This window comes from Homo sapiens, chromosome 4 (genome assembly GCF_000001405.40).
Source record: "Homo sapiens chromosome 4, GRCh38.p14 Primary Assembly".
Taxonomy (NCBI): Eukaryota; Metazoa; Chordata; class Mammalia; order Primates; family Hominidae; genus Homo; species Homo sapiens.
The window spans coordinates 185,009,372-185,022,798 of NC_000004.12; the positions used below are offsets into that span (position 1 = coordinate 185,009,372).

At 52.4% G+C, this 13,427-nt stretch overlaps 1 protein-coding gene across 3 annotated transcripts, besides 5 other annotated features; it reads left to right on the top strand.

Moving 5' to 3' along the window:
• Nucleotides 8,369–8,949: an enhancer, noted in NCBI's record as "H3K4me1 hESC enhancer chr4:185938894-185939474 (GRCh37/hg19 assembly coordinates)". NCBI's record gives its function as "activates a minimal SCP1, AML or CMV promoter by ChIP-STARR-seq in naive H9 embryonic stem cells {active_cell/tissue: H9 hESC(naive)}" and the evidence as "EXISTENCE:reporter gene assay evidence [ECO:0000049][PMID:30033119]".
• Nucleotides 8,950–9,528: an enhancer, noted in NCBI's record as "H3K4me1 hESC enhancer chr4:185939475-185940053 (GRCh37/hg19 assembly coordinates)". NCBI's record gives its function as "activates a minimal SCP1, AML or CMV promoter by ChIP-STARR-seq in naive and primed H9 embryonic stem cells {active_cell/tissue: H9 hESC(naive and primed)}" and the evidence as "EXISTENCE:reporter gene assay evidence [ECO:0000049][PMID:30033119]".
• HELT (helt bHLH transcription factor) lies at nt 9,119–11,582 on the top strand. 3 transcript variants are annotated; one of them, NM_001300781.2, is made up of 4 exons: nt 9,119–9,584; nt 10,016–10,120; nt 10,376–10,472; nt 10,902–11,582. In NM_001300781.2, the coding sequence occupies exons 1-4, from the start codon at nt 9,558–9,560 to the stop codon at nt 11,399–11,401; spliced, it is 729 nt and encodes a 242-aa protein (NP_001287710.1). In that variant the 5' UTR covers nt 9,119–9,557; the 3' UTR covers nt 11,402–11,582. The 3 variants fall into 3 exon arrangements, with proteins under 3 accessions (NP_001287710.1, NP_001287711.1, XP_016863675.2); NM_001300782.2 differs by having other exon boundaries at nt 10,905–11,582; XM_017008186.2 differs by having other exon boundaries at nt 9,558–9,716; nt 9,980–10,120.
• Nucleotides 9,529–10,108: an enhancer, noted in NCBI's record as "H3K4me1 hESC enhancer chr4:185940054-185940633 (GRCh37/hg19 assembly coordinates)". NCBI's record gives its function as "activates a minimal SCP1, AML or CMV promoter by ChIP-STARR-seq in primed H9 embryonic stem cells {active_cell/tissue: H9 hESC(primed)}" and the evidence as "EXISTENCE:reporter gene assay evidence [ECO:0000049][PMID:30033119]".
• Nucleotides 10,823–11,750: an enhancer, noted in NCBI's record as "H3K27ac-H3K4me1 hESC enhancer chr4:185941348-185942275 (GRCh37/hg19 assembly coordinates)". NCBI's record gives its function as "activates a minimal SCP1, AML or CMV promoter by ChIP-STARR-seq in naive and primed H9 embryonic stem cells {active_cell/tissue: H9 hESC(naive and primed)}" and the evidence as "EXISTENCE:reporter gene assay evidence [ECO:0000049][PMID:30033119]".
• Nucleotides 11,751–12,677: an enhancer, noted in NCBI's record as "H3K27ac-H3K4me1 hESC enhancer chr4:185942276-185943202 (GRCh37/hg19 assembly coordinates)". NCBI's record gives its function as "activates a minimal SCP1, AML or CMV promoter by ChIP-STARR-seq in primed H9 embryonic stem cells {active_cell/tissue: H9 hESC(primed)}" and the evidence as "EXISTENCE:reporter gene assay evidence [ECO:0000049][PMID:30033119]".

Consider the following 13,427-nt stretch of genomic DNA (forward strand, 5'->3'; position numbering starts at 1 on the left):
AGGGTCTTTACAGATGTAATTAAATTATGGATCTCAAGATGAGATCATCCTGGCTTCTCCAGGCAGTATAAATCCAATGGCAAGGACCTGATAGGAAAAGAGAACGCGGGCATGCAAAAGGGAGAAGGCAAGTGAGGATGGAGGTGGACTGGGAGTGATGCTGCTGCAAACTGGAGAGCCCCTGGAGCCCCAGAAGCTGGAGGAGACAAGGAGCAAAACCTCCCCTAAAGACCTCAGAGGAAGCATGGCTGTGCCACTGCCTCGATTTTTGACTTGTGGCCTCCAAAACTGTGAGGGGAAACACATCTGCATTGTTTTCAGTCTCCAGGTTTGTGGTGATTTGTTACAGCAGCTCTAGGAAACTAATACTTTAATTCTTCAGGCCTCAGTTCATGAAACATTTATGCCAGGAAGCCTTCACTGGATCTTTCCATCATCACCCACCTCTTGCCGGCTTGTACTAAGTTCCCTTCCTGTGTCTGTCTCACTCCATAAACTCCTGAAAAGCAGCGACTGCATTCTGCCCTCATGGTAATATGGGATCCAGCACTGTTCCAGGATTTAGCAGGTGCTCACCCAGATCAACGCATGAGCATCTCAGCCCCTGTGCCCCTCCTGGTCCAGGTGTGATGCCAGGTACTTCACAGACACCGCTGCACTGAGTCATCTCAGCAAGCCTAGGAGGTGGGTGCCATCATCGCTGCTTTACGGTTGCAGAAACAGGCTCAGCAACTTGCCTGAGACCATTCAGTGAGCAGAGTCAGGATGTATATCCAGATCTCTCCATCCCAGGTCCTGGCCAGCATGAGCACGACATGTTCAAAAGCCCAGCGGCAATTAGAAAAAGAGGAGATATGGGAGGAGGGTGGGGAAAGACTGGATCTGGATGAGCAGGCTAGCTGTGAGACAGAGTCATTGTGCATGCGTGTGTGCATGTGTGTGTGTGTGTGTGTGTGTGTAAACGGCAATGAGAGCCTTAGGTTAGTGCACTAAAGACAATCTAACTCATAATGCAGCATAAATATCTTACAGCAGCAGCAATTCTGAGACTGGGGAGCAAGGGTCTTGTGATGTAAGAGAGATGAGAAGGGACAAAGAAGGAGATGGGGAAGGGAGAAAGGAGAAGAGGAAGAGGAGAGGGAGAGCTCTGCTCAAGTTTTGAAACAAAACATGTTTTCCTTTCACCTCCCTCCTCCTCTTCCTCTTATCCATGCTCTGCCCTTTCTGGTGGCCTCAGTGTCTCAGGGCACAAATGCTGTCTCAGCTTCTACTATGGCACTTCCCCCAGCACAGGAGGCTAAATAAGGACCCCCCCATAAAGGCATCCAGGTCGTAATTCCTGAAACTGGTGAATGTCACCCTACATGGCAAAAAAAGGACTTTGTGGATATGAAGTTCAGGATCCTGAAATGGAGAGATTATCCTGGTGGGTCCTAAATGCAGACCGAAGCATTCTTCTAAGAGGGAGGTAGAAAGAGGTTTGAGGCACAGAAGACGAGAAGGCCGTGCCAGAGGCAGAGGATGGGGCGACACGGTCACAAGCCAATGCATGCCAACAGCCAGGACGCTGAAGACGCAAGAAATGAATTCTCCTCTCAGCCCCCAAAGGGAGGTGGCCCTGCTGACATCATGACTTCAGCCCAGGTCGCAGGTTCCAGACGCTTCAAACTTCCAGATGGCGAGGGAATACAGCTCTATTGTTTGAAGCCACCAAGTTTGGGGTCATCTGTTAGAGCAGCTGCAGGAAGCCAGATCTTCCAAACCTACCTTCATCCCAATCAAAACTTGTTTCCCAACGGCGTTCATCAGTTTGATGTCAGGGAGGACGCAATCTCATTATGTCAGTTCACCCTACTGGGCGCTCCTTCGTGCTCCCAGAGCCAACTCAGTTTTTAAAGGAGGGGATTTGTAACTCCTCAAATCTCAAATTGGTTAGATTCATGTAAAAAAATGAAGTGAACTGAAACTGTAAGCAGGGGGTGCAATCTGAGGCCGGTGGACAAACAAACGAGGCACATTGGCCTGCTTAGGTGTAGGGATCCCCCTCAAAGGCTATCTCCTTAGAATGGCTCTTCTGCCCACACGTGGGGATCTGTAAGTGCAGAAAGCTCCACGTTCGCTCCCAGTGACTCCAAGGCCACCCAGCCCAGTGCCTGGCGCACAGTAAACAGCGAATTCTGGAGGGGAATGAATGACAGCAGCAATCTCAGAGTGCCACAGAGGAGGGGCGGCATTCCCAGAGCAAGCAGTGGAGCAGCCCCCTGCTGGCACTGGCTGGTGGCGCGTCCAATGCCTGCAGCTTGACTCCTGCCCATAAAACAGAACCCCTTATTCATGTAACTGCAATCTACATTTCTCCTAAACTTGAACTTTGTCCCCAGATTCCCCACATCTGATGCAGTTTACAATAATTTATTTTCAGCAACATGTACCTCAGTTTTCTGTGAAAATGAGCCCCAGAAAGCAGATGAAATCTTTCTGTGAAGTGCTGACTTCACCTCCCTGAGAGCCATAAAAGAATGCCCCTTAACACAGTAAGCCAAAGCTCTGCAGGATGATGACTTCTGGATGGAAAATGCCCCTCAATACAGTAAGCCAAAGCTCTGCAGGGTGATGACTTCTGGATGGAAAATGCCCCTCAATACAGTAAGCCAAAGCTCTGCAGGGCGATGACTTCTGGATGGTTGCTCCAGTTAACATGGTGCAAGAAGCTGTAACTGTCAGCCCAAAGAAAAAGGCAATGGCCGAGAATAATCAGAGCCCATAATGAACACAGTTAATGGCACCCGCAACACGCTTTCTAAGTGATGTTAACATCAAAATATGGAAAGCAACACCTCCAGCTATCCTGCTGCCTTCCTCGAAGTATTCTTTCTCAATCCTTATATATATGCTCCCTCCACTTGCTGCTTTTCTTTTTTTAGAGACAGAGTCTCACTTTGTGCAGTGGTGCAATCACGGCTCATTGCAGCCTCTAATTCCTGGGCTCAACTGATCCCCTCACCTCAGCCTCCTGAGTAGCTAGGACTACAGGCATGCACCACCACCATGCCTGGCTAATTTTTAAATTTTTTATACAAACAGGGTCTCACTATGTTGCCCAGGCTGGTCTCAAGCTCCTGGGCTCAAGCCCTCCTCCTGCCTCAGCCTCCCAAAGAGCTAGGATTACAGGTGCAGGCCAATGTTTGGCCCTGAGTGCCTTTTAAAGTCCAAAAACAGGCCAGGCGTGGTGGCTCACACCTGTAATCCCAGCACTTTGGGAGGCTGAGTCGGGTGGATCACCTGAGGTCAGGAGTTTGAGACCAGCCTGGCCAACATGGTGAAACCCCGTCTCTACTAAAAATACAAAAATTAGCTAGGCATGATGGTTTGTGCCTGTAATCCCAGCTACTCAGGAAGCTGAGGCAGGAGAATCGCTTGAACTCAGGATGCAGAGGTTGCAGTGAGCCAAGATCATGCCAATGCACTCCAGCCTGGGCAACAATAATAAAACTCCGTCTCAAAAAAAAAAGTCCAAAAATAAATTGTAAAATATGACCAAGTGAAAGACTGCCTATAGAATTTGCTCCAAAATTGATGCCAAAATAATTTTTAAAGTCCCCATCCCAGTTTTTGTTCATTCAACAAAACTATATTGAGGCCAGGCAAGATGGTTCAGGACTATAATCCCAGCACTTTGAGAACCTGAGGTGGGAGGATTGCTTGAGGCCAGGAGTTTGAGATCAGACCCTCTCCATACAAAAAACAAAAAAAATAAAAATTAGCCAGCACAGTGGCATGCACTTATAGTCCTAGCTACTCAGGAGGCTGAGGCAGGAGGATTGCTTCAGCCCAAGGGTTCAAGACTGCAGTAAGCTATGATCTCACCACTGCACTCCAGCCTGGGCGATAGAGCAAGACCCCGTCTCTAAAACAAAAAACAACAAAACAACTATTCTGAGCATCTACTACTCTCAAAGTCTAGAGAGACATGAAAGAAATAGATTGTTGCATATAGGAGTAGGTGGAAGTCCTGGAAATATCCTATGGAAATATCACAGTTTGAACAAGGAGTGCTTCACAGGAAGACTTTTTCGTCCGTGCAGTTAATTGGTTCCAGTTAGGTCAACCTGAAAGTTCCCTTCACCTTTGCTCCCCACTGTCCTTCTGGGGCGGCCATTCCCACCTGGGATTTGCTCATCAGGTAGCCATGGTGCCTTCCAGCTTCAGCTACGGCAGTGCTTCTCAAACTCTGCGGTGCACACACCAACTGGGAGTGTCATTCAAATGCACGTTCTGATTCAGCGAGGTCAGGGGAGAGGCCTATGATTCTGCATTCCTAACGAGCTCCTGGGTGGTGAGATTCTGCTGTTCTGAGGACCACGTTTCCAGTAGCAAAGAATTAGAGCACTTAGTTTTTACTTAAAACAAACCCAACTTCTGGAGGCAGGAGATTCTAGTGGTGTGTGTGTATCGTTTCCAACACTTCTTCCAAAGGGTAGAGAAGGTGAAAGCGCATGAATCATTTGACAGGTTGTGGTGCTGACTGTGGCTTCCCTGCTGCTACGTCCACTGCCTGTTACTAAACCTAAAAAGAGCGCTGGAAAGCAGAGAACTAAGCTGCTTCAGAGACAAGAACGAAGGGGCTAAAAACGAAAGCCCTGGGAAATCACCTCGCATTGGATACAAGTTTCTCATGTCTCTGGGTTCCTTTCAGGTCTGGGGTTCAGATAGCAGCAGACATCTTCAATGTGTGTCCTTGTGGTTAGAGAGATTGAAGTGCTCCCCAGGACCCCTCTCACTGCCGCCTGACTGCACCAACAAGCATCTCCTGGCAGATTCTTCCTGGTGGCGTCACTATTGGGTTGAGAATACTACCGGTGACCAGAGAGAGCAGAGGAATTAGCGTGCTGAGCAAGGAAACTCCAGAGAAGCTGCCAGCCCAACAGGATAGCCAATGCCACCCATGGCTGCTGCGACGGACATTGGGAGTGACTGCTGTGTGGAGACTGCTGTACTGGGACCATCAGTATGAATACTTTCTTCTTTCTTCAAGCGCACATTTGTAATAGGCAGGACCAAGTCCCTTTCTACTTGGAATTGCCAGCTTGGGCTCATTGTGGGTGCTCAGCATGTGCCATTACCACTGGACTCATGAGAGGTAGAAAAAGGCGTAAAGGGGGCATAGACACGGCCAATGCCTCCTGACAATGATCATACAAGCCACGGGCAGCAGGTGTCCCACAGAAGGGCTGCCAGCCCTAATCACAGGAGTCTGACCAGATCCTCCTTGATAGTGACAGGAGGAAGCCAGCCCTCCTCCTCAGCCCTGGAGGAGTTCACACAGCAAATCAACAAATGCTAAATGGGAGACTTCCGGCAGCCGCTCACGCCTGCCATTGGGCATCCCAGTCTCCTCGTGGTTCCTCAGGGCCCTCGAGCGTGAAGTGGGGTGCTGGAGCCATGCTCTCATGGGCCTTTCCAGAAGGAGCAGCCTGAGATCCTGCTCACTTCATAACAGAGCCCAGGAGTTGGGCTCCCTCCAGGCCTCATCTTCCCAGCACCTCAGAAGTCAGTAGGGCCAGCCATGCTGGTGTTCTCCCGCTCTCAGCCAGGGCTCCTCACATTTGATGAAATCTCCAGTCCTGTTAATGTGTCTAGAAAGTCAACTTGTGTATTGGAGGCAGGGGTGGAGGGAGGGATTTGAAATTACCTGGAATTCTTTGTCTTAGTGCAATTTGTCTAAAGTTACTGTATTCTTTTCTTTCCATCCATCCCCTGCCCCCAAGCCCACAAATCCTCAATTTCTAAAAACTGGAAGCAAACACATAATAAGCCATCCTTCTGTGTTTGCAATCTGCTTGTCAAACTTATGGAGCCAAAGAAATAGTATTAAAAATAACGATAATAAACATGGTCGGCTTGTGATTGCTGTGTTCTCCAGTAGAGGTCTTTAGCTGCCAGGAGGCTGAACGCAGAGCAATATTTAATAAGCACTGTCTAATTTCCAGGCAGTCTTGCTTCCTAGCTTTCTTTTGATTTTGATGCTAATATTTGCGTCCCTTGAGAACGGCTATGATGCTGAGGGGTCCTGTGCTTAGAGTCCCTTTCAGCCTCACACACACACTGGGACTACACAGCTGGCCAGTAGCACTATGTGATGTCACCTGGGTGCCTGAAGGCCCCCATTCATTTGCCTGATTTTGGTCAATTAAACAAACTTCAGGAGGAATTACTGTGGCTTTTTCAGGGAGGCTAGAGCTTTCTCTGGGATGAGGGCAAAAAATGAAATGAGTGGAAAAATCATCTAACAGTGCAAACTCCACACTACCCTGTAAAACACAGAAGAGCCACCGTAGGAGAGATTTGCAGGCAAAGTAAAACCACTAACTGCACGATCCAGTCTTCTTTTAGGTGCCTCGTCTGTATTTACTTATTTCACTGGAGTGACCACCCGGTAACATAGTAGAAACATTATTTCCATTTTACAGATGAGGAAACTGAGGGACAGTAGATTCAGGACGATGCCTCGAGTCTCACCCAGCTGGTGGGCGGTAGGGCTGGGATCTGAACAGGCTGGCTGGCTCCGGCGAACCTCGGCTCTTCCCTACTCTGCTCTTATGTTGCGTGGAAACTAGGCCAGGATCAGGGAACTCCTGATCTTCACCCTGAGGAGAAGCAAAGAGAAGACAGCCCTGAGGCGCCCCACTCTGGGGCAGCGTGTGTGACCCAGGCCTTCGGACCGAGAAGGGAGAAAGGAAATACGTCCTTCCCTATCCTGAAGCGGAGGGCGTTCCAGGTTTCGCAGGTAGTGCTGCAGCCGCGCAAGGACCGGGCGAGGCTGCGCCCCTGAGCCCAAGTCTCCACTCACCGGCCTTCCCTTGCCCCCTCACCTGCACGCGGGTACTTTTAGCCCTGGGCAAGCCTTGAGCCAAGCGCCGAGACCAAACCCGGGAAATTAAACAGTGTGCATGGAATGAAATGTGGTCCGTGGAAGGTGCCTGCAGCTGGCGGTTAACACCGGCAGTAAGAGGATCAACGCCCGGGCCGCTGGCTTAAAAATGGGAGTGGGAGTGCGAAGTGTGCGCGCTCCTTTTTACCCATTCACGTTAGTTAATTTGGATGATAAGGGTTCGCGTTTAATCTCTTTGTGTGCGAGTGAATATCCTGAAATCGACAACCCCTGAGAGGGCACTCGCGGCTGGCAGAGCAACCTGGGAGGGTGCGGATCGTGTCCAATCTGGCGTGAAGCAGAAAGGAAACATCGTGAGGAGACTAGAGGCAGGACCGAGAGGGACACCCTAGGGGTGCGAGGTGCAGACCGAGCCCTCACATCTCCCAGGCCGCAGCAGGTGGGCCGATGGCTTCCCCGAGGCCTGGCACCCCAGGCCTGGCTCTGCGCCCTGAGGCTCCCAGGTCCCACCAGCTAGAAGAGCGCCGCCTACCCACCCCTGCCAAGGTCTAACGACCCCAAGGGGGGCGCTGGGCCCTGCCATCTCCCTGCAGAACAGAGAGAATTTAGGCAGGGTTAGGGGCAGGCAGAAAAGAAGAAAAATCTGAGAAGCGGTCTCAGCTGTTCCCAGATGGAAAAGATTAGAGAGGTGAGAGTTCGGTGGCTCTAGAAAGGGCCATAAAACAAAAATCATTTTTATCGTTTCAATCTGCAAGAAAGCTCACCCCCCACCCACACCCCACAAGCTCAGAGCCCCCAGAGTATAGGATCCGAGGCAGCAAGTGTGAGCGAGGCCCGTCCTGGGGGAGGTGGCCTCTGGCCGCGGGGCCAGGTTGCCCTCAGAGGCGCAGGCGGCCAAGAGAGTTCCCAGCCGCCGCCGCCCCCCTCCTTCCCCTTGGGCCCGTCCAGCAAATTTCCTCCCTCGTTTCTGTTCGTGCCTTCCCTCCCTCCTCCTCCCCCCGATATTTTCGCTTTCTAAAACCATAAAAAAGAGATCAACTTCCCAAACTTCACAGGGCCCTTTTCAGTGACAAATATTGATGCCCAAAGTGTCTGCGCTCTCCCGCCCCCAAACGTTAAGAAAAGACGCCAGCGAAAGGGAGACATAAAAAGTTAACAATGCTGTGAAAATATGTTTGCAGAAAATAGACAATCGTTGGATTAAACGTATTCAAGTATGAAATAATGCCTTTTTGTGTCAAAACTTGGGCGATGGGCGGGTACAAAAGTTCCCTGTGGCAGCTACTTGCTCCCTTTGTGAGCCGTGCGCTTTGGCGTCTCCACTTGGGCGCATTACTCAGAGCCCTCTAAGCGCGATTGTTTCTCCCTTTCTAATGACATTTACCGGATCAAAACATGCTGTTAATTCGATCAGAAGGCTTCACCCTCCCTGACAAAGCCACAATAATTTCTCCTGAAGTTTGTTAAATTGACCAAAATTAGGCAAATGAATAGGGGTCTGTAGGCGCCCCCTCTCGCAGGTGACGTTGCATAATGCTTGCCTGGGCCAGCTGCATTCCCCCTTTTCTTCTCGGCCCACTCTTCTCCGTGTTGCCCCCCAATCCTCCCACCCGCCCCTTCACACACAAACACACACACACGCCCGCCAGTCTCTCCTCCCCCACCCTCTGGCATTATTAAAATTTAGCCCAATGAAACTATTCATACTTTTCAATGGACATTTTCGTATAGGATAATAGGCTACAAATTGAGCCTCTTCCCCCCGCGAAGAGGGAGCAGGAGGGGTGGGGAGAAAAGAAAGCCAGCGACGTGGTCAGGGAGTAGGGGGGAGCGTCGCGTGCCAAACAGCGGCGGGAGGGGCGAGGCGAGGCGAGGCGGGAGCCTCGTGTGCCAGCCGCAGCCCCACACCTGCCGGGATGTCCGGACAAATAAAGCGGTGTAAACAAAAAGGGGGGAGAAGGACGTGTCACCAAGTCGTGTGAGAAAAGCCTGGGAACAAACGGGGCGCCTCCGTCTCCAAGAGCTCTCCCTTGAACCCGGCGGAACAGCCTATTAAAGGCTTACTTAATTACTTTAATGACTCTGGACAGGCTTTAAAACGCACTCGGCGCTGGGACGGCGGGCTTGCTGGGATTTGTAAACAGGCGATCATGTGAGACTCAGCGGTGGGACTAAAAGAGGCGACACTGTTTTGTGAGGGTCCTCGCCCCCCGGTGCCCGCGGCCGCTGCGCCCCTGCGCTCCGCGCCCGCGACTGCTGCAGGCGCTTGCTCGCCCGCCGGCCCCAGTTTACCGCCTCCTTTTCCCGCCCGAGCTGTTGCCATGCAAATGTTATTCCTGGGCCGATCACGTGTCCTTTGAAGGGCCACGTGGATTAACAAAGCTGATCTGCCCCCAGCTCGCCCCCCTCGGCTGCTAATTTTTTTTTTTTCTTAACTTCTTTAAAACTGATCTTGAATGCATACATCCTCCAAACGCAGCTCCCCTAATCCTATGGAATAATTCAACTCGTGAATGCATCTGGAGCCCTAGATGACCGCTTTATAAGGCAGCCCTCGGAGTTGGGAGGCTGCAGTCTACCTGGGACACTCGAGGAGGCACACGAGGCGGAAAAGTGGACGGGTGCCCCGCGCCACCGCCTCTCCCGAGGGCGCGTACTGACCAGGATGTCAGACAAGCTCAAGGAACGCAAAGTGAGTCGGCTGAGCCCAAATGGCACTTGCGCCCTGGTGGTGGAGGCATCTGACTCACCGACCCGCCACTTGGGTGGACCGATGGCAGGGAAGTGCCCGCACGGGACTTTGAGTGTGGAGGAATCTCGAGTGGTTTGGGAAGGGGGTGGGGTAGAGAGAGGAGGGTGCTCAACCAGGTAGAAGTCCTGCCTGGAGGCTGGCGGCCACCTCCCCAAAGGCCTGGGTAGGGTGGCTGGAAGGGGAGCGCGCCAGCGCGGGCGTCAGAAGGCAGAGCTCACCTGGCCCGAGCGTGGCGGGCCAGGAGTCCCTTCCTAGAGCGAATCTGAGCAGTGTGCGCGGCTGGAGAGGCGGCTTGCACCCAGCTGCTAGAGCCGCGCCTTTGACGACTTCCCGGGCAAAGCCATCCTAAACATACAACCCTCTCTTCGCAGAGAACCCCCGTTTCTCATAAAGTGATAGAAAAGCGGAGGAGGGACAGGATCAACCGCTGCTTGAACGAGCTGGGCAAGACAGTGCCCATGGCCTTGGCGAAGCAGGTAACGTTGGCGACCCGGAGCCGGGTGCCAGGCGTTGGGAGGCCTCTGCGGCCACTCTGCGGAGACGCCCGAGCCCGCGGACACAGAGGACCTCACTTGCGGGCCCCTCCCAGGCGGGGGGCCTGAGCGCAGGGCGAACCTCAGGAGGCTCTGGCGCAGATCCGCAGCCGCGTCCGCTCGCTGGTCCTCTCCAGCGCCACAGTGCCCGACCAGCAGGCGCTGGGCCGCTGCGAGGGGCCCTTCCTCCTTTTGCAGAGTTCCGGGAAGCTGGAGAAGGCGGAGATCCTCGAGATGACCGTTCAGTACCTGAGAGCACTGCACTCCGCTGATTTTCCCCGGGGAAGGGAAAAAGGTGGGCACAGGTTAGGGAATGGGACGCCTGGGCCAGGCGCCTGCGCCACCCAGAGACCCTGGGGCTGGGAGGGGAGTGACTGAGTGTTCCCGAGAGCTCTACTAGAGCTCCACTCTCCAGGAGGGCAGGGGTCCTGCGAAGGCGCCTCTCCCTGCTCGGCGACAGCAAGGCGGCGAGGGAGAACTGGTTCCCAGGGAGGCTGGTTCCACCTCCTTCTCCCGGGTGGGGTGGGTGGGGTCAGGCTCTCAGGGAAAGAGGGCGTTTGCGCGTGCCTCGCCAGTCTCTAAGACTGCGCAGAGGAGAGGGCGGGCCTCAAATGGGAACTTTGGCCAGAAAATGTGGTGGGAGGTGCCCTGCACCCGCTTTGGGCTCGCGTGGGGAAGGGGCACTCAGGGTGTGTCCGTCCTACGGGCTTTCTCGTTCCTCCAGCAGAACTTCTAGCGGAGTTTGCCAACTACTTCCACTATGGCTACCACGAGTGCATGAAGAACCTGGTGCATTACCTCACCACGGTGGAGCGGATGGAGACCAAGGACACGAAGTACGCGCGCATCCTCGCCTTCTTGCAGTCCAAGGCCCGCCTGGGCGCGGAGCCCGCCTTTCCGCCGCTGGGTTCGCTCCCGGAGCCGGATTTCTCCTATCAGCTGCACCCTGCGGGGCCCGAATTCGCTGGTCACAGCCCGGGCGAGGCCGCTGTGTTCCCGCAGGGCTCTGGTGCCGGGCCTTTCCCCTGGCCGCCTGGCGCGGCCCGCAGCCCCGCGCTGCCCTACCTGCCCAGCGCGCCAGTGCCGCTCGCTAGCCCAGCGCAGCAGCACAGCCCCTTCCTGACACCGGTGCAGGGCCTGGACCGGCATTACCTCAACCTGATCGGCCACGCGCACCCCAACGCCCTTAACCTGCACACGCCCCAGCACCCCCCGGTGCTCTGACGCCCACTCGCCCGCCAGATTTCTCCTCGCTTTGGGCGCTTTTAGGAGAAATGCTGTATATATTGTACACATAATGTGTAAATATTGTACCCCAAAAATCTGGGCTGGGGGAGGCAAAGAGCGAATGAGTCTTCTGAAGGATCTCCCCCTGGTAATAAACGTTTTCTGATAAAGACCCAAAGAGAGGGATTTATGTATTACCTTCTGCTCATCCACACCCGTCCCCTCCGCGGTGCCCAGGGCGCAAGGCTGACAGGGTTCAAGGTAACAGCCCTCAGTAACTTGGTGAGGGGCCCGCTGTGGAGTCTGAGGGAGGGGGACGTTAAATGGAGGTTCAGGCAGATATTCTAGGCATCGCTTAAGGGCGGGATTCGCGGCTTCCTGCACCCGCCCCATCTTGAGCATTAGCCTCAGAGAAACAGGGGAGGCGAAGAACACTGCCCTTGGCTCTCAGGAAAATGCAAATTGAAGGACCTGCCCCAAACTGACTTAGGCGGACCGTTGCCAGCTGCGACCCGGGCGCCCGTCCTACCCGGAGCCAAGTGCCCGACGCGCGCGCACCGCACGCCCGCGGGTCTGGAATGCGGCGAAACCCGGGCCAGCGGGGCGCGTGGCTGAGTTTACAGAATTAAAAATCCTCTAAAAAATACCGGAACCAAGTACAGTTCTGAGTTGCGGATTAGAAACAACATCGTTGATGACAACTGCTCAGCGCCAGAGGCTTCCGAGAAGCTGGCGTTGCCTTTTGCGCACAGAGCAGGCCAGCTTCGGGGGCGCTGGGCGTCTCGGCGAGAGGTCGGCACCTGCCGGGTTGGGAGACGCCCCTTCCCCACCCCTTAGGGGATTGTTCCCTACACGCCATCCTTTACCATTCGGACACTGGTGCAGGATGGAGACCCTGGGGTCTCCGTTTAAGTTCTCAGGCTTGGAGAGAAAAGTCCTCCTTATCCTTTCCCCAGTGAGATTTTTTTTTTTATCTCGCCCCACCCAGAACGTGGTGAGGAAAGTTTGGAATCCAGGAGAGACTTGGCTATTGGTCTTTTAAGGGATTGTGATTTTCACTTCCAGGACATCTGTGCCCTACCCACAGCGATGCATCTACAACGGCAAAAGCTAAAATCCTGTTTCTGTAAGACTCAAAGGGCAAAATAGGGCTCCCCGTTGTTTCATGTAAATAGGTAAAATAAACAATGTATCCAACTGGCTAAGTTTGTGTTTGTAGGTATTTAAATTTTTCTTTGAACTTTTGTGCCTCATTAACTTTAATGCCTTTTAAATAAATAATTCGAAATTAGGTAGCACGTTTTCCTCTTTGTTTCCAGAGGCCATTTCGCTGAACTGTGGTGATTTGTCTTCTCTCAGATCGGCTGGAGGACTGTAAATTAACTTATTCTATTTTCTCTGGACAGGGTTTAAGAAAGCTCTGACCTAGACTGTTTGCTGAGGTCATGGAATGGGATGACCTGCAATTTGTAAACCATCAAACTTCATTATGCAGAGACAGGCAAAAAAAAAAAAAAAAAAAAAAAAAAAAAAGCCCTCATTACATTGCCCGTAAAGTGAAACTTACACGTATATGTTTTGCCAGGAGAAAATCTTAAACTTTAGAAAAGGTCTTGCATGTGAGAGGTTCTTGAAATAACTTGTGTATAAAATGTGAGCTCTCTCCTTTCTATGAAGTGATGGAGCATGGAAGTGAGAGTGAGACCAGGCGGCCCTCCCGGATAACAAATATACATTGAGCAATATGGGATAAAAACAAATTATGCAGAAATGGGGAGAATGGGTGGTGCCTATTATGGGAACACATGTCTTACACCCATTTTCATCAGCGCTGGATACAGAATATGAAGAAGGCCTTTCAGAGTTTTCTTCTCTGAGCATTAAGCCAATCTGAATTCCCTTCGGCAGTGAAGCATTAAAGATATAATGTTACCCTGGAAATATAAATTATTAATATATTCAGCATTTTTGTCACTTCTCAACTGTTAACCAAATTAGACAAAACTTTCTTTTGCTAAGTAGA